The sequence below is a fragment of the Homo sapiens genome, chromosome 17 (assembly GCF_000001405.40).
Source record: "Homo sapiens chromosome 17, GRCh38.p14 Primary Assembly".
Lineage (NCBI taxonomy): Eukaryota > Metazoa > Chordata > Mammalia > Primates > Hominidae > Homo > Homo sapiens.
Genome location: NC_000017.11, coordinates 18,979,003 through 19,002,199, shown reverse-complemented (window position 1 = coordinate 19,002,199; position 23,197 = coordinate 18,979,003). Strand labels below are relative to the sequence as shown.

The following is a 23,197-nucleotide window of genomic DNA, read 5'->3' as shown; positions in this document are numbered from 1 at the left end:
AAGCTGCATCTTTGGCTATTGTGAAGATGGAATATCGGGTGACAAAAGTAAGGAAGGAGTTAGAGGAAGAGGAGGAGGAGGGGGAGGAGGAAGGGACCTTCATAGTTTGCAGACTGAGAGACCCGCCCCACACCTGCTGTGGTGTGGAGGAAGTGCTGCTGATGTCTGTGCCTGATGGGGATGACTGGCTGGAGGCTAGAGAACCCAGTCCCCACAGAGAGCCTGCTGGGATCCCATTACCCAGCCTCCACTTCCATCTTGAAAATAGGGAAACTGAGGCCATGGGTAGGGGGACCTGCTGTGCCAAGGTTCCCACTCCTCTGTGCCTCCCCTCCTTGTCAGCGACAGGAAGGAGGCAGATGGGAACAGCCAGAGGGTCTGCAGACAGACAGATCCCCCGCCCAGCGATGGGCCAGATAGGGGCTCCCAGGGCCAGGACTTCACCTGCTGACCCCAGGTTCCTCCCTGAGTCTCTGGCTACAGCTGTGACCCAGCCACTCCGTACAGTCCCATGAGCCACCTGGAGCTTCCTTTGCTTCCCACAAAAGTCCCACAAGGTTATTAGTGTCACCTAAGGTGACATTGCCTTCCTTTGCTTCCCACAAGGTGATTGCTGTCACCTGTCTAAGGTGACATAGCCAGGAAGAAGCTGGTCTCCAGTTTGGGTGCCAGTCTGTCTACATGGCCCCATAGTGAGTGATGTCCTCCAGCCTCGGACAGGTGGGCCCTGCTTTCTGCTTTTCCAGCCCTCAGGATGGGGCACTCACTGCTGAAACTGCTCCCTACTCTCAGACCTCAGGGAGTCCTCAAGGGTCCCACAGTGGGGGCCTCAGAGGCAGTAGAGACTAAGCTCCTCATCTGACAGACAAGGATACTGAGGCACAGAGAAGGACAGGGATTTGTTCATGACTCCACAGCATTGTGGTGAGCCAAGCCCCTGCTTTCTGCCCTGGGCACTTCCTTCCCTGCCACATCTGTCCTGGGACCTGTGGCCCAGGCTTGTGTGGCATGTGTGGGCAGGGATAATAACAATAGCAAGTGTTGACTGAGTGCGAGGCGCTTTATAATCTCAGCTAGTGTTATCTGTCTCATTTTTCAGATGTAGAAACTGGTTAGTCGCTGCCCAAGGTCACCTAGCTAGTTCTCGGGTAGAGGGGTGGGGACCAGGCCTGTGTTTCCCTCAAACTCTAGGCTATCCCTTGTGCCCTGGCCCTGGCAGGACAGAGTGACAGGCAGGGGCTGGGAGGGGCAGCTCATCCAGGCCACTGCAGTCCTCCAGCTGTCCTGCCCCAGCTGCTTCCCAGGCTCACAGGGGCAGGGCCCGGACACTGACGGATGCTGACGGGGCGCTTTGTCTGCCTGCTTCCTGGGAGCGCTCCCTGCCTTATCTCTCCCCATGAATCACCTCTCGTGCCCATGCTTCCACCTCCCCTTCTCACTCTGGTATTGTGTAGGGAGAACTCTGCCTGCCCCCTGCCTAGGATGGGGATCCCTCTGCCTGGGCCGCCTTGCCGCACACTGGCCCCTTCCCACCGGGGGCTTTAGGCTGGGGCTGCTGGGGCTGAGTCAGGACAGCCCAGCCTTCCGCCTCCTCACTCACCTTACCTGTCGTCAGCACAACAGGCAGACCCTGGGGCAGGGAAGTGACGCAGCACTTAGGGGAGCGGCTGTGTTCCTGTCAGGACTGCTGTCAGTCCCCCCTGTTCCCAAATGACTAGAATGGAACTAGTGGACAGCAGGACCAGGAGCCAAGAGTCCGTGCTCTGCCTCTGCCTGACTGTGGGACCTGGAACAAGCCCCAGCTCCTCTCCAAGCCCCGGTCATCCCATCTGTAAAATGGGAACAGGTATTGAAGACTGTTAGGGGCCCCTTCAGCCCTGACACCTTGCTGCCCTGTGATCCTAGACTCCCCTGGGACAAGAGGCGGGTGGGTCCCAGGTCTCACTCTCAGCAGCTTGTGCCCTCCAGCCTCCCTCCAGCCCTAGTGGGCTCCTACTCCAAGATGGAAGGTCAACTGCCTGCCCCTCCCCTAGCCCCAGGAGCCATGATTTATCTGGGAAAAAACCTGCTGTGGGGTTCCAACTACATACCAGAGGACGGGCTTGTAAGATCACGCCTGGGAGGGGCGAGCCCCGGCCTCACTTGGCTGCAGCCTGAGAAGGCGTGAGGCTGGGCTGGGTTGGGGCTTCCTCAGCCAGAGCTGGATGTAGATGTTCTAGCTGGTTGCTCCTCCAGCAGATGCTGAGCCCCCCTCAACAGGACACAGCAGGGGGGCCTTAGCAGGATCCCTCACCAGCCCCAGGGTGAGGCCCCAGGGCAGGGACAGATCACACCTTCCTTATTTCACAGTTGAGGAAACTGAGGGCAGGTGAGGCGCCGGTGGCCAGGGCCAGAACACTGATCTCTGCATGCCAGGCCAGGGCTTGGGAACAGACCCAGAGAAATAAAGTCGAACCCAGGTTTCACGAAGCCTGATTCACCCCACATTTTTTCTGTCAGGCCCCCGCCTTCACACACTGAAGTCCTGGCCCACAGCTTGGCTCTGAGAGAATAGAAGCAGCTTAATGAGGTGCTTACTAAATGCCAGCCCCGCGCCAGGTGCTGAGCGGGCACTTTACCATGCTGTGTAATCCTCCCCACAACTCTGGAAAGTAGGTGTTGTCTCCATTGTGCAGATGAGGAAACTGAGGCTTGGTGGGGCTCGGAGATGGCAAATAACTGGCCTGAGGTCACAGAACTGATATCTGGAGGGACTGGGCCGAGACCCCCAGTCTGCAGGCCCTGAGCACCCTCCCATTCCCTGGAGAAGCAGTGGCACTGTTCCTTCTGAGCCCTACCCCTGCATGGGAGCACCAGAGCCTCACTGCTGGATCCTGTTGACTCAGGACAGTAAAAGCATTTTCTTTTTTTTTTTTTCTTCTTGAGACAAAGTCTTGCTCTGTCGCCCAGGCTGGAGTGCAGTGGCACGATCTCTGCTCACCGCAACCTCCGCCTCCAGGGTTCAAGCGATTCTCCTGCCTCAGCCTCCTGAGTAGCTGGAATTACAGGTGTGCGCCACCACGCCCAGCTAATTTTTGTATTTTTAATAGAAACGGGGTTTCACCGTATTGGTCAGGTGGGTCTCGAACTCCTGACCTTGTGATCCACCCGCCTCTGCCTCCCAAAGTGCTGGGATTACAGGCATGAGCCACCGTGCCTGGCAGTAAAAGCGTTTTCATGAGGCTCCTTGGCAGCTAAATACTGGGCTCTCTGGAGGAGGGCTGGGACGGGGACTCACAAGAACAGGGTGAGCTCTGTGGCCTGGGGACCAGGAGGAAGGCCACTCATTGCATCCTTTAGCTGGGCAGTGCCAGGACAGCTCCCCACACTGCCAGAGGCCACAGGTGGCCCAGTTGACACCTTGTGGGGCGCACAGCTGGCCCAGGCTCCCACCACAGGTCAGAGAGTGGGTGGGGAACCATCTGATAAAGTAATCCCAGGTGTTAACTCCTGTGCGCTCCAAAGGCTCCCTTCCCTTAATTAAGAGTTTCGAGGAGAGCCGGGAGCAGCCCTTCGAGGAAGGAGCTCTAAGGAGAGAGTGCCTGCCCGTCTGGGCACTCCAGTGGGACAGGCAGCTGCTCAGCCACTGGGCTGGCCTCCTTCCCACAACCCCAAGAGCCAGGGCCTGCCGTCATGTTCATATCACAGCTGGGGAAACTGAGGCTCAGAGTCGGCTGGGGCCTTCATAAGGTTACACCAAGGGTCTTAGGTGTGGCTGGACCTGGATTGGGTCTCCCTGGCTGGAGAGGGTCTCCCTGCAGCTGAGGGTCCTGGCCCCTGGGCCAGCAGAGAGTGCTGGTCCCACTTAGCCACTTGCATGCTGCAGGACCCTCGGCCTCAGTTTCTTCACTTGTAAAATGGGGATCAGGCCTTGTCTTGACGCAGTGATAGACAGGAGCATCCAAAAGCACTGAGCTACCCTCTGCCTTGAGAGCAGCTGGGGAGGAAGATGGGGTCCCACCCTGTGCCCTGGCCCACGTTGGCCCCAGCCTGGCAGGCCCTGGCCTGGTTGGGCTGTCCTAGTCCCCTTTAAGGGTCTGAATGACCCCTGGGCTCGAGTACCTTGCCAGGTTAAATGCCATGTGGGGTGGTGGGAAGACAGGCTTCCGTATCACTGGGACCCAGGCATGAGCCCCAGCTCTGGTGTTATCTTTAGTGGCTGCTTGGAGATAGTTGCTTGGCCTCTCTGACCTTCTGTTCCTTCCTCCTCAGTGTCATGGTAGTGCTAACAGCTAACACCTGCCTCATAAAGTCAGTGAGATTTAAATGGGAAAAAGTGTGGTGTGTAAAACACTCTGTGTCTGGCATGGAGCTGGCATCGGTAGATGCCAGATCTCTCCCCTCGCCTCCTCCACCTTCACTCCTCACTCCTGTCCTGAGAGCTTCTCTCTGTGAGTAGTCTGGGGTGGAAGTGGTGAGCTCCCTGTCCTGGGAGAAGTTCAAGCAGGGGCTCACTGGAACGCAGCAGAGAGCATGTGGGCACCAGGTGGCCTAGAAGCCTCAGCCCTGCCCTGGTGTGCTTTGTGACCTTGGGCAAGTCCTTTCCAAGCCAGGCTTTCTGGGGCATTAGGATGCTTGATGGCCCCAATGTCTGTCGCTCTTGGACCCTGGAGAAGCTGAGGTTTTAAAGGCTTTTGAATCTATAGTTTTGAGATTTTCCTGTTTGAAAATTCTCAGCTGGTGCCGTTTGCTGCCCACATGGGATGGTCTGGTTGGCTGGATCCTGCGCCTGCAAGCCTGGAAGCTCTGAGGATTCTGAAGCTCCTTGCGGCCAGCGGGAAAGGATCTTGCCCTCTTGCCTCATCCACAGGGAACAGCCTTGGTCACCTCATGGCCTTTCCCCAAGCTCTGCCAGCCCCTTGTCTTTGCAGTATTCCTGAGCCATGACCAGGAAGCTGATGTCCGTCTGGGGGAGGTAGGAGACTCAGGGTAGTGCCTTCATGCCACTGGGCTAGGCTGAGCCTCCTGGTCAGAGCGCTCTGGGCATGATTAGCCTGGGCTTCTTGACCCCAACCCACTGCAGCCATTTGGTGCTCAGAAGGCCTGATCTTCCTTTAATTGGCCTTAATGAGGCTTCAGCCTTAATAGTCAGAGGGTGGGGAAGGTGTTCACAGAGCTGATGAATGTCAAGGGGAACGGGACCTCAGAGTTCATCCAGTTTCACTCCCCATGTTACCAAGAAGAGAAGCTGAGGCTTAGAGTGGGAAGTGACCCGCCATGGGCCACCCAGGGAAGGCATGGCAGAGCCAGGGAGGCCCAGGCATTAACCTTCCAGACAGTGCTGATGGTCAGGTATTTCTTTCAAGAGCTGAGGTGGCCTCTGGGAGGCTGTGGGTGGGTTCAGAGGTTGGAATGGACACAGGGTCCCCCATTAGGAGAAAAGCCTAGGAACAGGAGACCTCTGCCACTAGTTGACAGGGTGGCCCTGGGACAGTGACACCCCCTCTGGAAAATGGGAGTGGCCATCACCACCCCTCCCTGTCTCCAGAAAAGGGACACCTGTATGCGTGCCAGCTGGTTGGCCTAATTATCCTTGCTCTGGCTGGGGTCAGCATTTGTTACCAAGTACACAGACTCCCTTTACCCTGGGAGGCAAGATGAGACTGTTAGCTAAACTAGTCCTCTCGGTGACAGACTTTCAGAGACATTATATGGGCAAACTGGTTTGGAGATTGCCAGGAGGTGGCAGGGAGCACCACCCAGGGATCCTAGGAGAACTTCCTAACCCAGAGAACCTTCTTGGGCCTCTTCAGATGGCATGTCACTAATTCTGCCAGCCCCCTGGAGGGGAGGAGGAGGGGAGGGGGAGTGGGACCATGTCATGATAGAAAAACTGAGGTGCTGCAGCCACGTCTGTCCCAACCGTGCTGCTGGAGGAGGGGGTTGCAGCTGGAGGAGGGAGTGCGGGTCTGCTGGTAATGAATTCTCTCAGCTTTTTTATATTTGAAAAAGTCTTTAGTTTGCCTTTTGTTTTGAAATGTATTTTTACTGGGTATAAAATTCTAAGTTGATTTTTTTTTTTTTCCATTTAGTACTTTAAAGATATTGCCTGTTGTCTTGTGGCTTGCAGTGATTCTGATGAGAAGTCCACTTACTTTGTTCCTTGACATGCAGTTGTCTTTTCTCTTCTGGTTGTTTTTAACGCTCTCTTTGTTACTGACTTTAAGTGATTTGTTTATGATGTGCGTTGGTATAGTTTTTTCATGTCTCTTCTGAGACCTGTGGATTTAGTCTTTTTTTTTTTTTTTTAATTGAGACAGAGTCTTACTCTGTTGCCCAGGCTGGAGTGCAGTGGCGCAATCTTGGCTCACTGCAAACTCCACCTCCTGGGTTCAAGCAATTCTCCTGCCTCAGCCTCCCAAGTAGCTGGGATTATAGGCACATGCCACTATGCCCTGCTAATTTTTGTATTTTTAGTAGAGACAGGGTTTTGCCATGTTGGCCAGGCTGGTCTCCAACTTCTGACCTCAAGTGATCCACCCGCCTCTGCCTCCCAAAGTGCTGGGATTATAGGCATGAGCCACTGCACCTTGCCTTGGATTTAGTCTTTAATCAAATGGTAGAAGTGTTTTGGCCATTTTTTTCTTATTTATTTATTTTTTTAGTCTCTCGCTCACTCCCAACCCTTCCACCTTCTGAGACTGCAATTACACATATATTGGATGGCTTGAAGTTGACCCACAGTTTGCTGATGCTGTGTTCATGTTCTTTCAGTCTTTCTGTGTGTCATTTTGGACAGTTTCTACTTACATGTCTTCAAGTTCACTAATTTTCTCTTCTATAGTGTTTAATCTGTTAATTCCACCTAGTATATTTTTCGTCTTAAATGTTGCATTTTCACCTCTTGAATTTCGATTTGTTGGCTAAAAAAAAGCTTCCACATCTCTACCTAACTTTTTGAACACATGGAACACAGTTATAACTGTTTTTATGTCTTTATCTGCCAGTTCTAACATCTGTGTCGGTTTTTGGTTGATTTTGATGGATTTTTTTTTCTCATGTGCATCATGTTTTCTTGTTTCTTTGTGTGTCTGGTAATTTTTAATTGGATACCGGGCATGTTGGATTTTAGTTTGTAGTTTTTGTTTGTTTTGTTTTCTCCTTTAAATATTTTGGAGCCTTGTTCTGGGATGCAGTTAGGTTACTTGGAAACGATTTAATGCTTTTGTGGCTTCCTGTCAAGCTTTATTAGGCAGGACCAGAGCAGACTTCACTCCAGGGTAGGAGTTGCAAATTATGGACCCCAGGCCAAAGGAAGCCTCTTGCCAGCTTTTATAAACAATAGAACATAGATATTTATTTATATACTTTGTTTGGCTGCTTTTGTGTTACACCAGCAGATTTGAGTAGTTGTGACAGAGAACATATGGCCCTTAAAGCCTCACATGTCTACACTCTGGTTCTTCAGGAAGTTTGCTTATGCCTGGTCTAGGACTTATTTGTCAACTGCTGAGGCAGTATCCTTCTGAGGACACCCCCTGCAGGACCTGTGTGTTAGGAGGGGTTTCTGTTCTGGCTGGGGGCACATACACTATTCCCGGTCCTGCGTGAGCACCAGCAATTGTTCCAGCCACCCCTTTCCGGTGGTTCTCTGCTCAGCCTCCCCTTTCCAGTGGTTCCCTGCTCAGCCTCAGTAGTTTCCTCACGTTCGTGTGCTGCTCGGCTATCAGCTGAAGACTCCAGGGGACCCTCTGCAGGTCTCTGGAGTTCACTCTGTGCAGCTCTCTCCCCTGCGGCACTCCGTCCTGCAAATCCTAGCTGCTACACTCAGAGTGAACCCTGTCTCCTCAACTCAGGGAGACCACAAGACTCCACGGGGGCGCCCCTCCCTGTGCTGCAGCCTGGAAATAGTGGGGTGATCCTAGGGCTCAGCTGGTTTGTTCCTCTTCTCTCAGGAATCGCTGTGCTGATTGAAGCCTGTTGTCCATGGCTTCATAGATTTTATCCGGGTTTTTTATTGCTAAGGCAGGGGGTGAATTCCGTCTCTGTTATTCCATCATGGCTGTAAGTGGAAGTTGAATCCAAGGTCATGATGGCCACTGCCTCAACCTTTAAGACAGTCTGCAGCATTCCTGTGAGCAGCCCTGATGCGTCACTTACAGCCTTCCAGCTGGCCCGGAGGGTAGTGAGACGCTGCTGGCCTGTTCACCCCAGAGGGAGCTGTGGGTCTGGTGGGATGGGACTTGGGTTGGTGGGAGGACGAGGAGGGTCCGTGCAGCTGCCGTTTGTGGATCCCCTGCTAGGGCTTCACCTGCATGAATTCATTTTAATTTCCAACAACCTTGTGGGTGGGGATTGTTATTATCCCCATGAGGAAATGAAGGTACTTGCCCAAGGTCATGCAGCTTCCCAGGAGGAGCTGAGATCGGAGCCAGCGGGTGCAGAGCCCACACTGCCACTGTCTGGGCATCTGCCATCAGACCTGGAGAATAACGAACCCCAAGATGAGAGACTCTGTCCACCCCCGGCACTTCTCAGGTGGGAAAGTGAGGCCCAGAGAGGCCTAGGGACTTGTCTGCAGTGTGTGCAGTGTCTGTGGCTGCTTCAGGGCTCCAGGTTCTGGGGCAGGCTTGAGGGTATCTGTCCTCCACCTGCCTGGAGCATAGTGAGGAGAGAGAATATGGCCGCCTCTCTCCTCTCTCTGAGCCGCCTCTAGGGATCTCTGAGGCCTAGGAGGGTGAGGTGAGTGTAAGGCTTGTCACGTGCAGGTTGGAAACTGTCCCCTCTTACCCGAGTCTTGCGACTCAGTCCTTGGGAGACTCCATTGCTGTGCCTGAGAAGAAATACGCAAGTGATACACGCTCAACCCAGACAGGCCAGAGTGACGACAGGGGAGGCTGGGGCTGCACTGGAGTTGGGATTTGAAAAAAGGTAGTTGTCCGAGCAGATGCAAAATGGGCAGGTGGCAAGGAGAACAACATGTAGGAGACACAGTGGCTTGAGGCAGGACGCGTCGGGGAGAGGGATCAGGAAGCGTCGGGGAGAGGGGTCAGGATGCGTTGGTTTAGGGCCCCCCTGAAGAGGTGCTGCTGCAGAGGCTGGGCCTGTGCACCCGTGGTTTCCCACCATGCTCGGAACCAGGCCAGCCCGTCTCGCCCCACCCCTCCTCCCCAGGCACCTCTGTGGAGACCTGTTCTACCTACTCGTCCTGCGAGGGCACTTCTGCTTCAAGAGTGGTTCTGTGGTCACAGGAAGGCTAGGAAACAGCTGTTGTGGGTGTCAGGAGCCACAGGCTGTTGTTGGCACCTGTGAGGCAGGAGCTGTGTGGGGAGGCAGGGAGAGGGCGGCCACCAGCACTTCCTCTCCCAGACCTGTGGGCGCAATGAGATGTGTTAGCCGCCCAGACAGGCCCTGCCCGGCACCAGGCAGGGAACAGGAGTTGGGGTCCCTCGGCAGGGACATCAGAGACGAAGGGCCTTGGACATCTTGTCCACCTTCTCCTTTGACAGGTGAAGAAACTGAGACCTGGAACGCAGGTGTGGCTCACCCAAAGCCCAGCCTAGAGCTTGGGCGCCGGTGCTGGACCGACTCCGCCCGCTCCACCCTTGCTCAGGGGGCTCTGGCTGGGGCTGAGGGAGATTGAGGAGGCCCACGCCTGTGCTCCCTGCCTCTGTGACCTAAAGCCCTGTCCCACCCCCAACGCCAGCAGCCAGTGTTACGTGGCTTCAGGCCGTGTCTGCTGGGGGGCAGTGGCCACAGGTGGGGTTCTCCTTTGTGTGAGATGCTGTCACCCCTGCATCCCAGCTCAAGCTGCTCCGGTCACTGCCCAGGTGTTGGAGGTGCTCCTGGCAGGGCACTGGGGATCCCCATGCAGCACCACCTTGGACCAGTGCCCTCCCCTCTCCCAGCTGCAGTTTCTGCATCTCTCACATGGAGGCGGATGTCCCCCTGTCCCAAGGACACAGAGGGAGGTGGGGGATTCGAGACACAGGCAGAAGGCAGGGTGGAGAAGGCCGGCGGATCCACTGGGCAGGGAGGGTACAGCATGGGAGGAGGTGCTCATCGGGCGGGGCGCTGGAGGGCTTGTGCATATGGACACCCCTGGACAGACATGCCGGAGGTGTTTGGGCACCAGGAGCCCCCAGGGAGAGGCCTGGGCTGGGGCAGGCGCAGGCTCGCTGTTGGCTCACTGGAGGAGTGCCCACATCCCTGCTGGTGTTTCCCTCCAGTGCAGCCTGCCTGCCTCTGCCCCCCAGGCATGGCCATCCTCCCACACCCTGCCATCTTGGGCCATCCTCCCACACCCTGGCAGGAGTCAGATGGTTGTCTTGGGCATTGGGCCTCCTGGGTTCTGCAGCTGCATCTTCGAGGCCTCAAGGCCGCCCAGCAGAGGCCTGTCCATCAGTAAGATGCACAGGGACCACTGGGCTCCCTCCTTCACTTGGGAGCTGGGCTGTGTGGCCTGCGCAGATTCCAGGCTGCTGGGCTGGGAGCTGCCCGTCGGCTTTGACAACGGTACCTGGGGTGCAGGACACACACGTGCCCGCCTGCCATGCCTGCCCCTGTGCCAGCTGCTCACATGGACATGGCTGGTTCCTGCCTCAGGAGCGGAACAAGCTCAGTGATGGGACCCAGGCCACCCGCCTCCTGCCCAGTGTGGCCCCTGACATAACAGCAGGTAGAGCTGGTCTTTGGAGTCAGCCTCCCCTCTCATTTCCACAGCCCTTGCCCTGCCCAGGACCTCTGAGAGGACGTGTGGGCTTGGGGCTACGTGAAGCATCTGGTACTTTTCTTGACTTGGGCCAGCTCTGACAATGTGTGAACTGGATAGAACCACAGGGGCAAGCCAGGCCCACACCCCCATTTGACAGATGGGGAAGCCAAGGGCCCAGGAGGGGCTGTGGTCCCAGATGCCCTGATTCCTGCAGTCATTCCCAGACCAAGCCAGTTGGTCTTGTTCTCAGTTGATAAAAGCTCCCCAGGACCTTCCTTAAACCAGGCCCCGTCCTGGGCTCAGACAAGGGCTCTGCTCTTGCTGAGCTCATGGTGTCACAAGTGAGCTGGGCCTCCCAACAGAATTAGGCAAGGTGGCGAATGCCTCTGTGCTTCAGTTTCTTTATCTGCAAAATGGGAAAAAGAACCACTGCCTCCCGGTGTGCTTGTGAGGCCTGAACAAGGTAACAGCTGTAAAGGCTCCTTATAAACCATCAAGCAGCTCAAGGGCCCAGGACTGATGCCCAGTCTCTTGTGCAGAAGGTGCTCTGGGTGGGACAGGGCCCTGGGTTCTAGCCTCAGTCATGGACTGTGATCCCAGCTTTCCTGTCTATAAAATGGGAAAGGGCATGACAGGACTCAAGGGCCCCCAAGAAACCTTTGTGGCTCCATGGACAGGCCAGGCTGTTGGGGGTTGCCTGGGGGAGCACCAGGCTCCCCCTCCCCATCCCCAGCATAAGCTCGTGCCTGTTACAAACCCATCTCTGACCACCCTAGGCACTGAACCCAATGCCTGGGGAGAGCCAGGACTGTGGGGGGATCCATTTTGGAGTGCAGGCTCCAACATATCCAACCTGACAGCAGATGGTCCCTGGATCAGGCACCCTGCCTGGCTGAGGGCAATGTGGGGAGTGGCGCACATGGTGCGGGTCCTGCTGGGGCACGTCCCCCAGCCCAAGCCCAGGGCAAGTCCCCATCTGCCACGGTAGGCAGGGCCTGGTGCCCTCCAGGGAGAAGCATGCCTACTGCGCCCTCATTAGGCTCCTTTCCAGGGTGGCACGTGAGGCTGTTTGCCTGCTCAGAAGTGGCTTAACTAAGGAGATTCTGGGGCTGGAGAGGCTTTGGGTCTGGGAGATCCCAGGCAGGGAGGACCCTGCTACCACCACACACCCCTGCCCAGTGTCTCAACACCACTGCCTCCAGGGTCATGGTGACCTGCCTGCATCGTGTCTTCTCTGCCCTATCATCTACCCCCGCTCCAAGCAGTCTCTGGCCTTCCTTGAACATCTCCTAGGTCAGGGAGTGAGCTCCCTCTTAAGATCCCTGTTTAACCTTGGGCAGCCCTGGGGGCAGCAAGTGCTTCCCCATCTGGTGCCAACATCTGCCTCCCCTGCGAGTCGTAGACCCTGCATCAACCAGCTACTCCCTCTGCCCCAAAACAGCCCTTCAGAAACAGAGAGATAGGGAGCAGTCATCTCCCCAGAGAACAGAGAGAACCCTAGGCCTTGGAGTTCTGGGAGTCCCAGCTGGTCCCACACCTCCGCTGTCCGCTCTGGGGGGACCACTCTCTCCCAGGCTCTCCGAGACTAAACGTCCAAGAGAAGGTACTGGAGACCAACCCTGACCTGACTCGGAGGTAGGTCCAGGCCCTGGCCCAACTTGCTTTGCGACATCCAACAAGCCTTACAACCTCATTGAGCCTCAGTTTACCTGGCTGCATGCTGGGCTGTCACCACCATGGTGCCTGTGAGAGGCTGCAGGAGTCAGGCTGACAAGACCCCCTGTAAATGGGAACGTGCGGGGTGACTGTGGGAGAAAGGCAGCAAACGGGCATCACCGAGCCCCCGCCCCAGCCCCCCGTCGGGCTCTTTGCAGGTGCTGCGGTATTCAGGTGTGCTCCATTCTCCTGAGAGATGGAGCATGCTATACTGATGAGAAAACTGGGTCCAGAGAAGCCAGGTGTTTTGCTCAGGGTCACACAGTGAGTTTGAGGCAGGGCAGGTATGGAGCCCTCCCCTCTGCTGGAGTTTGGGCTTTGGTGCCAGGTGAACGATGGGGGCCTGAGGCCCAGGAGGAGCCCAGATGGGCCTGCAGGGGCCAGCCTGGTGAGCTCACTTTGGGGCGTGCAGACACATCCCCAGCAGGCTCCAGGCCGCCTCCACCACCCTGAATCTCCGCATCCCAGCAAGGCTGGGGTGCTCTCTGACAAGTCAGGGTAGTCTGTAGCCTGACTCTGTCCCCAGCTTGCTGTGTGGCCTAGGGCAGGTCCCTGGCCTCTTCTCCAGGTGGTCCTCAGACCTGGGACAGGGATGGTGGTGCCAGGCTCGGAGGGTGGGAGGGGTGGGGCTGCCCAAAAGTGGGACATGTGTCTGCATCAGCAGTGTAGGCGGCTGTGCCCAGGCACAGGCCCTGTCCTGACTCCCTCCCCTTGCTGCCAAGGGACAGGGAGGGGACTAGGTGTGAGAGAAGCCTGACAGTCACTGAGCCCCACTGGGGCCGGGCCCATACCACCTCATCCTGTCCTTCTGCATGTTCCACCTTGCACCTTCACTCAGCCAGGCCCCCTGCCCTGTTGGTGGTGCTTGGCTGGGCTGGGGGAAGGCCCTGACCACTGGGGCCCCACCCTGAGCCAGGTCCAGCAGGAGGTCACCTGCTATGGGGACAGATGTTGTCAGCTGACAGGAAGAGATCTGGGTTTAGACACTGGCCAAAGTCCACACCAGCCCAGGAATGTAGGGGATGCCCCAGCGAGCCGCCACGCCAGCTGCTGCCCTTCCGGTCATTGACACATCAGGTTCATCTCAGCATTCCCAGGTGTTACAAGGAGGGCAGAGCGTAGCCGGCCCTGGCCTGGGAATGCACCAACACAGGGCCCCTGGGCTGAGCCCAGAGCTGGGACTGCAACTAGAACTTCAGGGCAAGAGAGGCCCCTGGCCCCTCACTTCCTGGTCCCGGGCCTGAGGCTCCAGGAGTAGGGCCAGAGTGGGCACCTGTGAGAGGCTGGTGGCATGGGAGGGCTGTGCGCTCTGCCAGGGCACCCTGTCCCCACTGCTGCACTGTCTGACAGGCCCTAGTCTCTCTTCTTGCTCCCAGGTGATAGCTGTGGTCATGGACATGTTCACCGACGTGGACATCTTCAAGGACCTGCTGGACGCCGGCTTCAAGAGGAAAGTGGCCGTGTACATCATCGTGGATGAGAGTAACGTCAAGTACTTCCTGCACATGTGTGAGCGGGCCTGCATGCACCTGGGGCACCTCAAGGTGAGCAGGCTCCTCACTTGCCTGGGTGGCTGGAGGGCAGGGGTCATTCAGTCTGTCAACAAACACTTCGAGTACCTGCCTGCTCTGGACGGAGTCCTGTGCCAGGCACTCAGAGTCCAGTAATCCTAGAGCCTCCTGCCAAGCAGTCACATAGCCACTGCTTGAATTCCCTGAGGGGCAGGATACTCACTACCTCCAACGTGGCAGAGATAAAATAAACACTGATTAGGTGCTTGCTGACCAGGTGCTGGAGCTCATGCCAAGTGCTGCATCATGTTATTTCAGAGCAGCCCATGCCACATCGGTTATCTGTTTGCTTGCATACCTCTGGTGATAGTGTGCTCACTGCCTCCTCAGGTAGCTCGTGGCCTTTCTGGAGAGCTTCAACTCCCAGGAAGTCCTTTCTTGGGTTAAGCCCAAATCTGTCTCCTTAGAATTCCATTTACTGGTTTTAGATTCTGGCTCAGACAGAGGAAGCTCCCTCAGGCTGGGGCCAGGGAAGGCTTCTGCGATGGCTGCACAGTTGAAGTGAATTTAAGGCACAAGAGCAGAGGAGAAAGAACCTTTGGGGTGGGGGAAACCATGGAACAGAAGTGGATCAGAGAAGGCTGCCGATGGGGTCAGGGTGGGCTGTGGTTCTCAGCACTGTTTTGCTGTGTGTCCTTGGGCATGTCACCTCCCTTCTCTGGGCTACAGGATCTCATTGGTCCAACGCTCTTCTGCCCAGACACCCTGGCATTTGGTGTCTGGAGCCCTCCTTCTGCCAGCCATCGCTTGGCACCTGCTGCGTGCAGAGCATTTCCCTGAGAGCAGATGAGCGTGCGTGATGACGGCGAATACTTCTCTTGCATTGGCCGTGCGCCAGGCCCTGTCACAGGCACTTTGCATTGGTTAATTTAATCCTCACAACAGCCTAGTGGGATAGGGAGTTGTTCCCATTTTGCAGATGAGGGAATGGAGCCACATACCCCATGTCACTGCTAGCAAGTTAAAGATAGTGGGGTAGAGGCCTGCTCCAGACCCTTGGGCTCAGCACCAGTGTCTGACAGGTCAAAATTCTGCAGGTTTCAGGCTTGTGGTCCTAGGAGAAGGGGCACCGCCAGTCTGGTTAACAAGGGGCCGGGCTCCACGCCTGTAATTTGTCAGCATTTGTCAGGCGCGCCCACCCCCTCCAACCCCAACGCCTCCGGTTGAGTCCTTTCAAGTGGTTGTGAGCACTCCGTGGTGAGTCTCTAGCTCTTGGGACATTTTTAATGTGGTCTCCCTGGTGGGTTGGCCCCAAGCCCCACACCCACCTCACTCCCCGCCGCGTAATTAGTGCTGGGAATCGATTCCAGTGGCAGATAGCTCATGCCTGAGAGAGCCAGTGTGGAAAGGCCACTTTGGAAACCTGACTGCAGAAGGCCTGGCCCTGCCCGATGCCCAGGAAGAGACCCCAGTGGGGCCCCACCAGCACCGTACCCCTGCCCCAGGCCCAGCGAGTGCTTTGCACTTCCCCCAGCGTGCAGACGCAAGCAGGGAGCAAGCCTGTCGGTTTGGAGCAGGGACCCTAACCTGGGGCCAGCCACTCCAGAGGCCTCGCCTTCCACCCAGGCCCCTTCTCAGCAGAGAAGCCCTGGCTGCTCCGCTGCTTGCAGAGTTCTGAGTTTCCAGGAAGCCGGAGGCAATGGGGCAGGTGGGGGGCCTGGAGTGCCTGGGCCTGAAGGGGCCTTGAGGTCATTCAGATGAGGCTCCCACAAGACAGATGGAGAAACTGAGATCCGAGGGAGGCCATGCCTTGCCCAAAGCAATTCCGACCAATTTAGGGGTGGCGCCTAAAAGCCAATAGTGACAAATCAGCTCTGACAAGGAGGCTGCAGATCCCTGGTACTCAAGCAGCAAATAATAAACAACTACAAATAATAACACAGAGCATCAAAGGATGAACTTGATCCCTTATATTAATTTCTCTTATCCTTTTTATTGGCTCAACCAATCTTCTAGCACTCCCACCCTACTCATTCACACCAACTACTCAACTATCAATAAACCTAGGAATGGCCATCCCACTATGGGCAGGGGAAGTAGTCACTGGCTTCCATTATAAAACCAAAACCAAAGCCAACCTGCCAGCACAGGCTGCCCTGGTGCTGCCCACACGGCTCACTGGCCGCTGACCTGCTGTGGGTCCTGGGTGTGTGGTTCCACCTCTCTGGGCCTCGAGTGCCCCATGGCCATAGTGATGCCTCACGGGGTTGTGTGAAGGTGAAATTAAAGGAGACGGTGGTTGTAAAGTGCTGTGTGTGCTGAGGAAAGTTATACAGCTACTGGCAAGAACCACACATTCTAAATCCCAGGCCCTGGGCTGGGGTAGGGGCTTGGGTATGAGGCCTGCCCTGTTCCACCCCCAGCCCTTCCACTGGCTGTGACCAGCTGGAAGGCAGCTGGCACTGCAGGTCCCTGGCCCCGCCTGCCCTGCTCAGCCGCCTCGCTTCCCCAGGGAAGGTGGCAGAGTCTGTAGGGTGACATATCCAGGAGCTAGACGCCTCCATGGGAAAGTGTGACCTGGCTTCCTCATTCTCGCCTCTGAGCTTGCCCTTCTACAGCCCTGGGCGGGTGGCCAGAGGCCCTGAGAGCCCAGCCCCAGCCAAGTGTCACCCCCTGTCGAGGGCCTGCCTTCCCTGCCTACCTCCCTCACCTTGAGCTAGCTGGGCCCAGACCTGTCCCGGGAGCACTTCCTTTGCCGATAATCCCTGGGCCTGCCCTCAGCCACTGCCACCCCTGCCCAGCTCTGCACCAACCTGCCCCAGCTCCTTTGGGCCCAGGCAGGGTACAGGTTTTCTGGTAGGGTCATCCTTTTGACCTTGGGGTGTCAGGTGCCAGTTTGGGGGTGATACCAGGAGCCAGTCCTGAGCCCCAGCTGTGCCACCTGCATGGTAACCTTGGGCAGAGTCACTGAATCCTTCTAGGCCTCCATTGTCTTGTCTACAAAATGGGGACATGGTCATTTATCTGTCAGGGGTGCTGTGAAGAGTGAAGGAGGCCGTTTGTGCGGTGGGCCTTCGGTCACGAGCTCCCTTCCCATCCTGGCTTTGGCTAGGGACAGGCACAGCCCCGCCATGAGACGCAGCTCTGGTCTGAGTGCTGAGCGGCTTTCTTTCCCTCTGCGCCAGGGTCTGGCTGTGGTTCACCCTCACTCGGCTCCTTCCTCCTGAGCTTGGAGCCCACACCAACACACTCTCGAAACGCTGCCCTGTTGCTTGGGCCAAGCCCACTCCTGGTCCCCAGGTGAGGTGGGAGCAGCGTGCACCAGTGTCTCCCCAAATGTGGGGCTCCCAGCCATTCCTAAGCACCTCAGCCGGTTGCCCTGGCCGGCCCCAGTGGCCCTCCATGTGGGAGTATGGGAATGACCACCCCAAATGACAAATAGGGAGCAGGCCTTGGGAAGAGGGCCAGAACTTTCACTGACACCCTCTAGGGTCACAGGGCCAGGCCGCATGACTTGGCTGCTTTTGGGGGTGATACTGGGTGTGGAGGGATGCTCCCAGGCCAACCAGAGACAGGCTGGGCCTGAGGCTTCCAGCTTAGGACAGACAAGAGCCATGAGATGCCTGGGCCATCTGAAAAGCCAGTTGACTTCGTGCAGCCAAACTGGAAATACCAGCAGCCCCTGGGCAAAGGCCAGACCCGTTTCCCGTTTCTGATGAACAAAGAAGCATCAGCTGGGATGGCCATGGGAAGGCACACGGTGAGGAAGTGAGGATCGCTGCCGCTCAGGCCTCACGCTGGACAGGCACGACCCAGCCCTTCCGCTGCCCAGGTTCCCCCGTTCCCCGGGGATGCCTGGGTGTTGCTTGCTGTCTCTACCTGGGCCTGGGTCTGTGGTGGATTCAGGGTATAAGGCAGGGTTCTCTTTTTTTTTTTTTTTTTTTTTTGAGAGGGAGTCTTGCTCTGTCGCCCAGGCTGGACTGCAGTGGCGTGAACTGCAAGCTCTGCCTCCCGGGTTCGTGCCATTATCCTGCTTCAGCCTCCCCAGTAGCTGGGACTACAGGGGCCCGCCACCACGCCCGGCTAATTTTTTGTATTTTTAGTAGAGATGGGGTTTCACCGTGTTAGCCAGGATGGTCTCGATCTGCTGACCTCGTGATCCGCCCGCCTCGGCCTCCCAAAGTGCGGGGATTACAGGCGTGAGCCACCGCGCCCGGCCAAGGCAGGGGTTCTCAAACGGGGGGGATTCACTCTGCTGAGGGACATTTGGCATTGTTAACTGTCCACCTTGGGGGTACTACCAGCATTGAGTGGCCAAGGATGTTGTTAAACATCCTACACTGCCGGGGACAGGTCCCACACAAAAGGGGACATGTATCAGTTGTGCAGAGGCTGAGCAGCCTTGGCCTAGGGGAGAGAGGAGCCCCTCAGACCAGGGCCTTGGAGCTAGGCTGGCCCTGCCCCTACATGCCGTCACATACTTTGGGCCAAATGTGGTTCACAAAGGGCCCACCACCCCAACTTCACAACAGCCTGGAGAAGTCCAGGGTGAGTGTTGACCACCCCTCTCCACCCTCCACAGAGAGCGAGACAGGCCCTGTAGAGGAGAGTAGAGGCTGCTGGAGGCCTGCACCTCAGGCAGCCAGGCTCCTGCTGCTATGTTGGGCTCTGTTCCTTGCATTCCTCACACTAGGCCTGGCCTCACTGTTCCCAGCTCAGACCTGGTCAAGGATGCATCTCTGGACCTCCCCACTGCTCTACCGGGCCTCTACTCATTCACACTAACTACTCAACTATCAATAAACCTAGGAATGGCCATCCCACTATGGGCAGGGGAAGTAATCACTGGCTTCCATTATAAAACCAAAACCAAAGCTAACCTGCCAGCACAGGCTGTCCTGGTGCTGCCTACATGGCTCACTGGCTGTTGACCTGCTGTGGGACCTGGGCGTGTGGTTCCACCTCTCTGGGCCTCGAGCGCCCCATGGCCATAGTGATGCCTCACGGGGTTGTGTGAGGGTGAAATTAAAGGAGACGGTGTTTGGCCAGCAGGGCCCTGAGGAGGTGGGTGATGAAAGAGCCCTGTCCTCAGTCCCGGCCCAGCCCAGGGCTACTGGGAGACAGTGGGCAGGTCACTTTCCCTACCTGAGCCCACCAACCACCCACCCAGTACGGCTGACAGTCCTGGCCTCCCTGGGCAGTCCATCCCTCCTGGATGTTTTGTGGTCCTCTGTGTTGGTCCCCCACAGCCCACTGCGCCACTTCCAGTTCATGGGGCACCCACTGGGAGCTGGACACCTTCCCTGGGAGGGCCCCACCTGTACTGTGGCTCTATTCAGTCCTCACAGCAGCCTTGCAGCACAAGGATGAGTAGACCCTTTCATAGATGAGAAAACTGAGGCGTGGAAAGAAAGGCCTTGGTTGGCGTCCATTTGGTGCTAGGATTGGAGCCTGTTTGACTGGAGCTCAGGAATGCCTAGACCCTAGACCCACTCCAGGGGCTCCTGGGCTCAGCCCCCTCTGCCTCGCACCAGCGGGCTTGGCACAGTTGGATCACATGTCCTTTAAGCACATGTGGCCTGGAGGCCTGGGGGGATTGGGGGCAGGTTGCTGTAGTTTGCCCCAGCCCTGGAGCCCCCACCTTGCCTTGCCACCCGCTGAGAGCAGATGAAGCACCACCCGGCCGTCCTCCCCTGCCCTGACTCGCCCTTGACGTCCTCTCTTACTTATGAGGAAACTGAGGTCCCAGAGGGTCCAAAGACTTTTCCAGGGCACCCCTCTTGGGCCAGCCCCGGCATCCCTCCACCCATCTGCTGTCCTGTGCCGGGGGTGTCCCAGGAGCTCAGAGACAATGCAGCTTTGTGGGATCCTCCACCTCTGCGCACACGAGCCCAGAGTCTTGAGACGTTACCTCATCCAGGCCAGGCCCCGTGGGGTGGGGCCCATCCAGGCACAAGCTGGGGAGCAGGCCATGAGGCAAGAGGTGGGGGGCCCTGCTGCAGGCCCCCACCTGCTGCTGAGCCCCAGGTAGAACAGGCCTAAGAGTTGGAGGCCCGCCCTGCTGTGTGCTAAGGGAGACTAAGGCCCAGCAAGGGCCCGGGACTTGCTTCGAGTCACAGCGAGTCAGCGGCCCAGCCGAGGCCTGCGGCTCACACGGAGGCTGAGTCACTCTGAGATGGAAGTGGTGACTTTCCGAGCCCTCATCAGGACAAGGTTTGGGATGGGTGGGGACAGACACTGTCCAGAAGGGTCCTGATGCTGGCGGCCGATTTTCCAGGCTAAGGAGGGGTCTGTGGCCGGGCCAGGAGCCTGCAGGAGGCGGTGGAGCTGGGCTCGGTTGGGCTCAGTGACAGGGAAGGCCTCGTACCACCTCCAGGATCTTTGTCCGACTTCTCAACCCCGAGCGTGCTCCATGTTGGGTACAAAGTCACGAGCGCTAATTGTCCTGGGCCGTGGCCAGCTTCCTGCTGAGCTGGCTGTGTGCAAACCTGCAGCCTGCGGGGTGGGGGGCCGGCGAGGGCGGCCCTGGGAGCAGAGGCTTATCTGCCTTCTGCACTGGGCCCTATGAAAAGGCTATGGTTTATCCCACAGGTGGGCATCAGATGGGGACTCACCCACGGCCCACACCTGCCTGCCTCTGTGGTTGCTTGCCTGGGGCCACCCCAGCCACAGGGGTCTGGGACACGGAAAGGACTGGCAGGGCAGGAGGCTGGATGGCATGGCGGGCAGCTCTGCTCTCTCAGGCTCCCCTCCTCTCCCATAGCATTCACCTCACACACCCACTGCCTGATGCCAGCACTGCTCCTGAGATACACACCCAACCCCATCGCTCTTGCTGTAAATCCTCCCATGGCTCCCTACTGGCCCCAGGGCCAAGCTCAGGCTCTTAAGCCGGTGCAGGGTCTTTTACCAGGAGCCCGCCCCTGCTCGCTCTGCAGGCTCCATCACCCACCCCTCCTCCCCTGAGGTGCTCTTGTACAAAGGCCTCTCATGCCTGGTCTTTGAGTCCCTTCCCTGGAATGCTTCCCCACCTCCCCCTGTGACCTATGTCATCCTCTCCCGGGAGCCTCCCGGCCAGCCCTTCACACTTCAGGCTACTCCTCTGCGATCCTGGGCATTCAGCTTGTTTTCGTTTACCCCCTCAGCCTCCCCTTCACCTCCCAGGTGGGATCCTCATCACAGGCATCTCTGCAGCTGGAGGCCTCGGCAGGGGTTGATGACTATGTGAATGAGTGGGGTGAATAAGCTGGGGCCAGTGAGTGGGTGAGGGGACAGACCAGTACGTCACAGCTCAGCCTGACTAAGAACACGTCATAGCCGAGAGCCAGAAGCCGGCACAGAGCCCCTCGGGAGGGAGTGAGACTCCCATCACAGGAGGCATGCAGGCAGACCAGTCAGGAATCCCTGGAGTGGGTGTTAAAACTGAGATTCCCTGCCTGACCTCAGGCCTCCTGAGTCAGACCCTCAGGGCACCCAGGAGCATTTCTTACACACTGCCCTAGACAGGGGCCAGATGAGCCCCAGGTCCCCTTTACACCTGTGATTCTACTTCGGGATGCCCTTGGCCATCCTCGACACTTGGGTTCCAGCCAGGCTCGCCCTGTCCTTCCTGGGGTCTGCCGTGCCCAGCACCAGCCTTTACCATCTGCTCCTCCCTCACAGCAGGTCCTGCTACCTGGGGGAGGGAAGTCAGCACCTGGAGCTCATAACACACAGGCCCTTGGCAGCTCCAGAGACTCCACACTGGGACAGAGGGCCCTTATGTGTTCAGGGTCCAGGAAAAGGCCGGTGACGACCTGGCCTTGGAGCTGAGGCAGTTGAGGGGCCCGCTGTGCTCCTCATGCCCAAGGAGCCCTCTTCTCCTTGGGTCTCAGCTCCCTTGGCCACAGTCTCTGAGGGCCTTCCTGGCCTGCTCCTGGGCCAAACAGTGTAAGCCGGCACAGAATTGAATCTCTGACCATTTACAGGACCTGGCCTGGGTGCTGGGTGGTGTCCTGGCCATGGGGAAGGAGAAAGGTTTGCTGTGAGTCCTGTCCTCGGAGCAGAGCCCAGCAGAGACAGGGGTGTTGAGAAGCACAGGGGAGAGGCCGGGTAGGGCCACGCACCCTGGAGGGCCACAGACTTATCGGAGTATAAGGCACAGATTCTGCAGGGCAGGCCCCCTTCCTGCCCTCCTCTGGCTGCATCACCCCCTAGCCATCCACGAGACACTTCTAAAACGTGTGCACATCACCCTCCCGCTCAGGACCCCACCATAGCATCCACCACCCACGGCAGCATTTCCCAAGCTGGCTGGCTGTGTAAGCCTTTTCCTGCCTGATGCTGCTCTTCAGACACCTTTAGGGCCAAAGCCCAGACCATCTTATGCCAACCCCTTTGTACCAGTGCCTGCCCGCTCTGTAGCTTCACGGCTCAGCAGCTCCCTCCTTACCCTGAGCCCTGCAGTCCCAGACACACCAGCCCCTTTCTCCAGGCCTTACAGCCTCTTTCTTCCCCTCCTGACTACTCCAGAGTCCCCTCTGAGCCCTGGGCAGCTGCCGTCCTCCCCTCGCCCTGTGTGGTCAGGGTTGCAGTCGTGTAATTCTGTCTCTTGGTTCCCAAAACAGAATCTCAGAGTGCGGAGCAGCGGGGGAACTGAGTTCTTCACGCGGTCGGCAACCAAGTTCAAGGGTGCCCTGGCCCAGAAGTTCATGTTTGTGGATGGAGACCGGGCTGTGTGCGGCTCCTACAGGTGACTCTCCAGCTTTCAGGGAAGTTGTGCGAGAGGTACCTCTGGCTCCCAACTGGCTTCTGCCCTTAATCCTAACCCTGGTTATTCCGGTTCATTGGTCCCAAGGCTGCTGAGGTGTGCGCAGGGCTGGAGCACATCTGCCCGCCTGTCTGTCTCTGGAGGCAGGCAGAGAAGGGCTTTGTCTGAGGACGCTGTTGTTCCAGCTTGGAGATGTCACCGGCCTGGAGGTGGGGTGTGGCCAGGCCGTGCCTTCGCAAGCCTATGGGGGTCACTCTGAGAGCCGTCCTTAGGGATGGGGCCAGCTCTGTGGGCACCACCACATGGGGCATGGGGTGGGCGCTGCCCATGGTTACATGGGGGTTGGTGGCAGCATAGACGCATGGCAGCAGCGGCCACCACATGCAGAACCCCCCACAGTGTCCAGGGCCTTCCTGAGCTGCTTAGTGAATCCTGTACCAGCCTGAGAGGAGCACAGTGCCCTGTCATTTGCAGAGGTGGGAATGGGCTTGGTGCAACCAACTTGCTTGACATCCGACTCAGTCTGAC

The 23,197-nt window shown here is 57.5% G+C and overlaps 2 protein-coding genes across 8 annotated transcripts in view, besides 3 other annotated features; one reads left to right on the top strand and one right to left on the bottom strand.

Moving 5' to 3' along the window:
- The window catches only part of SLC5A10 (solute carrier family 5 member 10), a 71,890-nt gene that overhangs the window by 20,366 nt on the left and 28,327 nt on the right, over window positions 1–23,197 (bottom strand). The gene's annotated exons all lie outside the window — the stretch shown is intronic.
- Window positions 1–23,197, top strand: part of FAM83G (family with sequence similarity 83 member G) — a 37,328-nt gene that overhangs the window by 3,917 nt on the left and 10,214 nt on the right. For both annotated transcript variants that reach the window (XM_017024953.3, NM_001039999.3), the window contains exons 3-4: window positions 13,786–13,953; window positions 22,527–22,651. In XM_017024953.3, the coding sequence (XP_016880442.1) occupies window positions 13,786–13,953; window positions 22,527–22,651 (293 nt within the window). The remainder of the gene's footprint in view (window positions 1–13,785; window positions 13,954–22,526; window positions 22,652–23,197) is intronic.
- Window positions 18,804–19,758: an enhancer, noted in NCBI's record as "H3K4me1 hESC enhancer chr17:18885755-18886709 (GRCh37/hg19 assembly coordinates)". NCBI's record gives its function as "activates a minimal SCP1, AML or CMV promoter by ChIP-STARR-seq in naive and primed H9 embryonic stem cells {active_cell/tissue: H9 hESC(naive and primed)}" and the evidence as "EXISTENCE:reporter gene assay evidence [ECO:0000049][PMID:30033119]".
- Window positions 19,759–20,713: an enhancer, noted in NCBI's record as "H3K4me1 hESC enhancer chr17:18884800-18885754 (GRCh37/hg19 assembly coordinates)". NCBI's record gives its function as "activates a minimal SCP1, AML or CMV promoter by ChIP-STARR-seq in primed H9 embryonic stem cells {active_cell/tissue: H9 hESC(primed)}" and the evidence as "EXISTENCE:reporter gene assay evidence [ECO:0000049][PMID:30033119]".
- Window positions 20,714–21,669: an enhancer, noted in NCBI's record as "H3K4me1 hESC enhancer chr17:18883844-18884799 (GRCh37/hg19 assembly coordinates)". NCBI's record gives its function as "activates a minimal SCP1, AML or CMV promoter by ChIP-STARR-seq in primed H9 embryonic stem cells {active_cell/tissue: H9 hESC(primed)}" and the evidence as "EXISTENCE:reporter gene assay evidence [ECO:0000049][PMID:30033119]".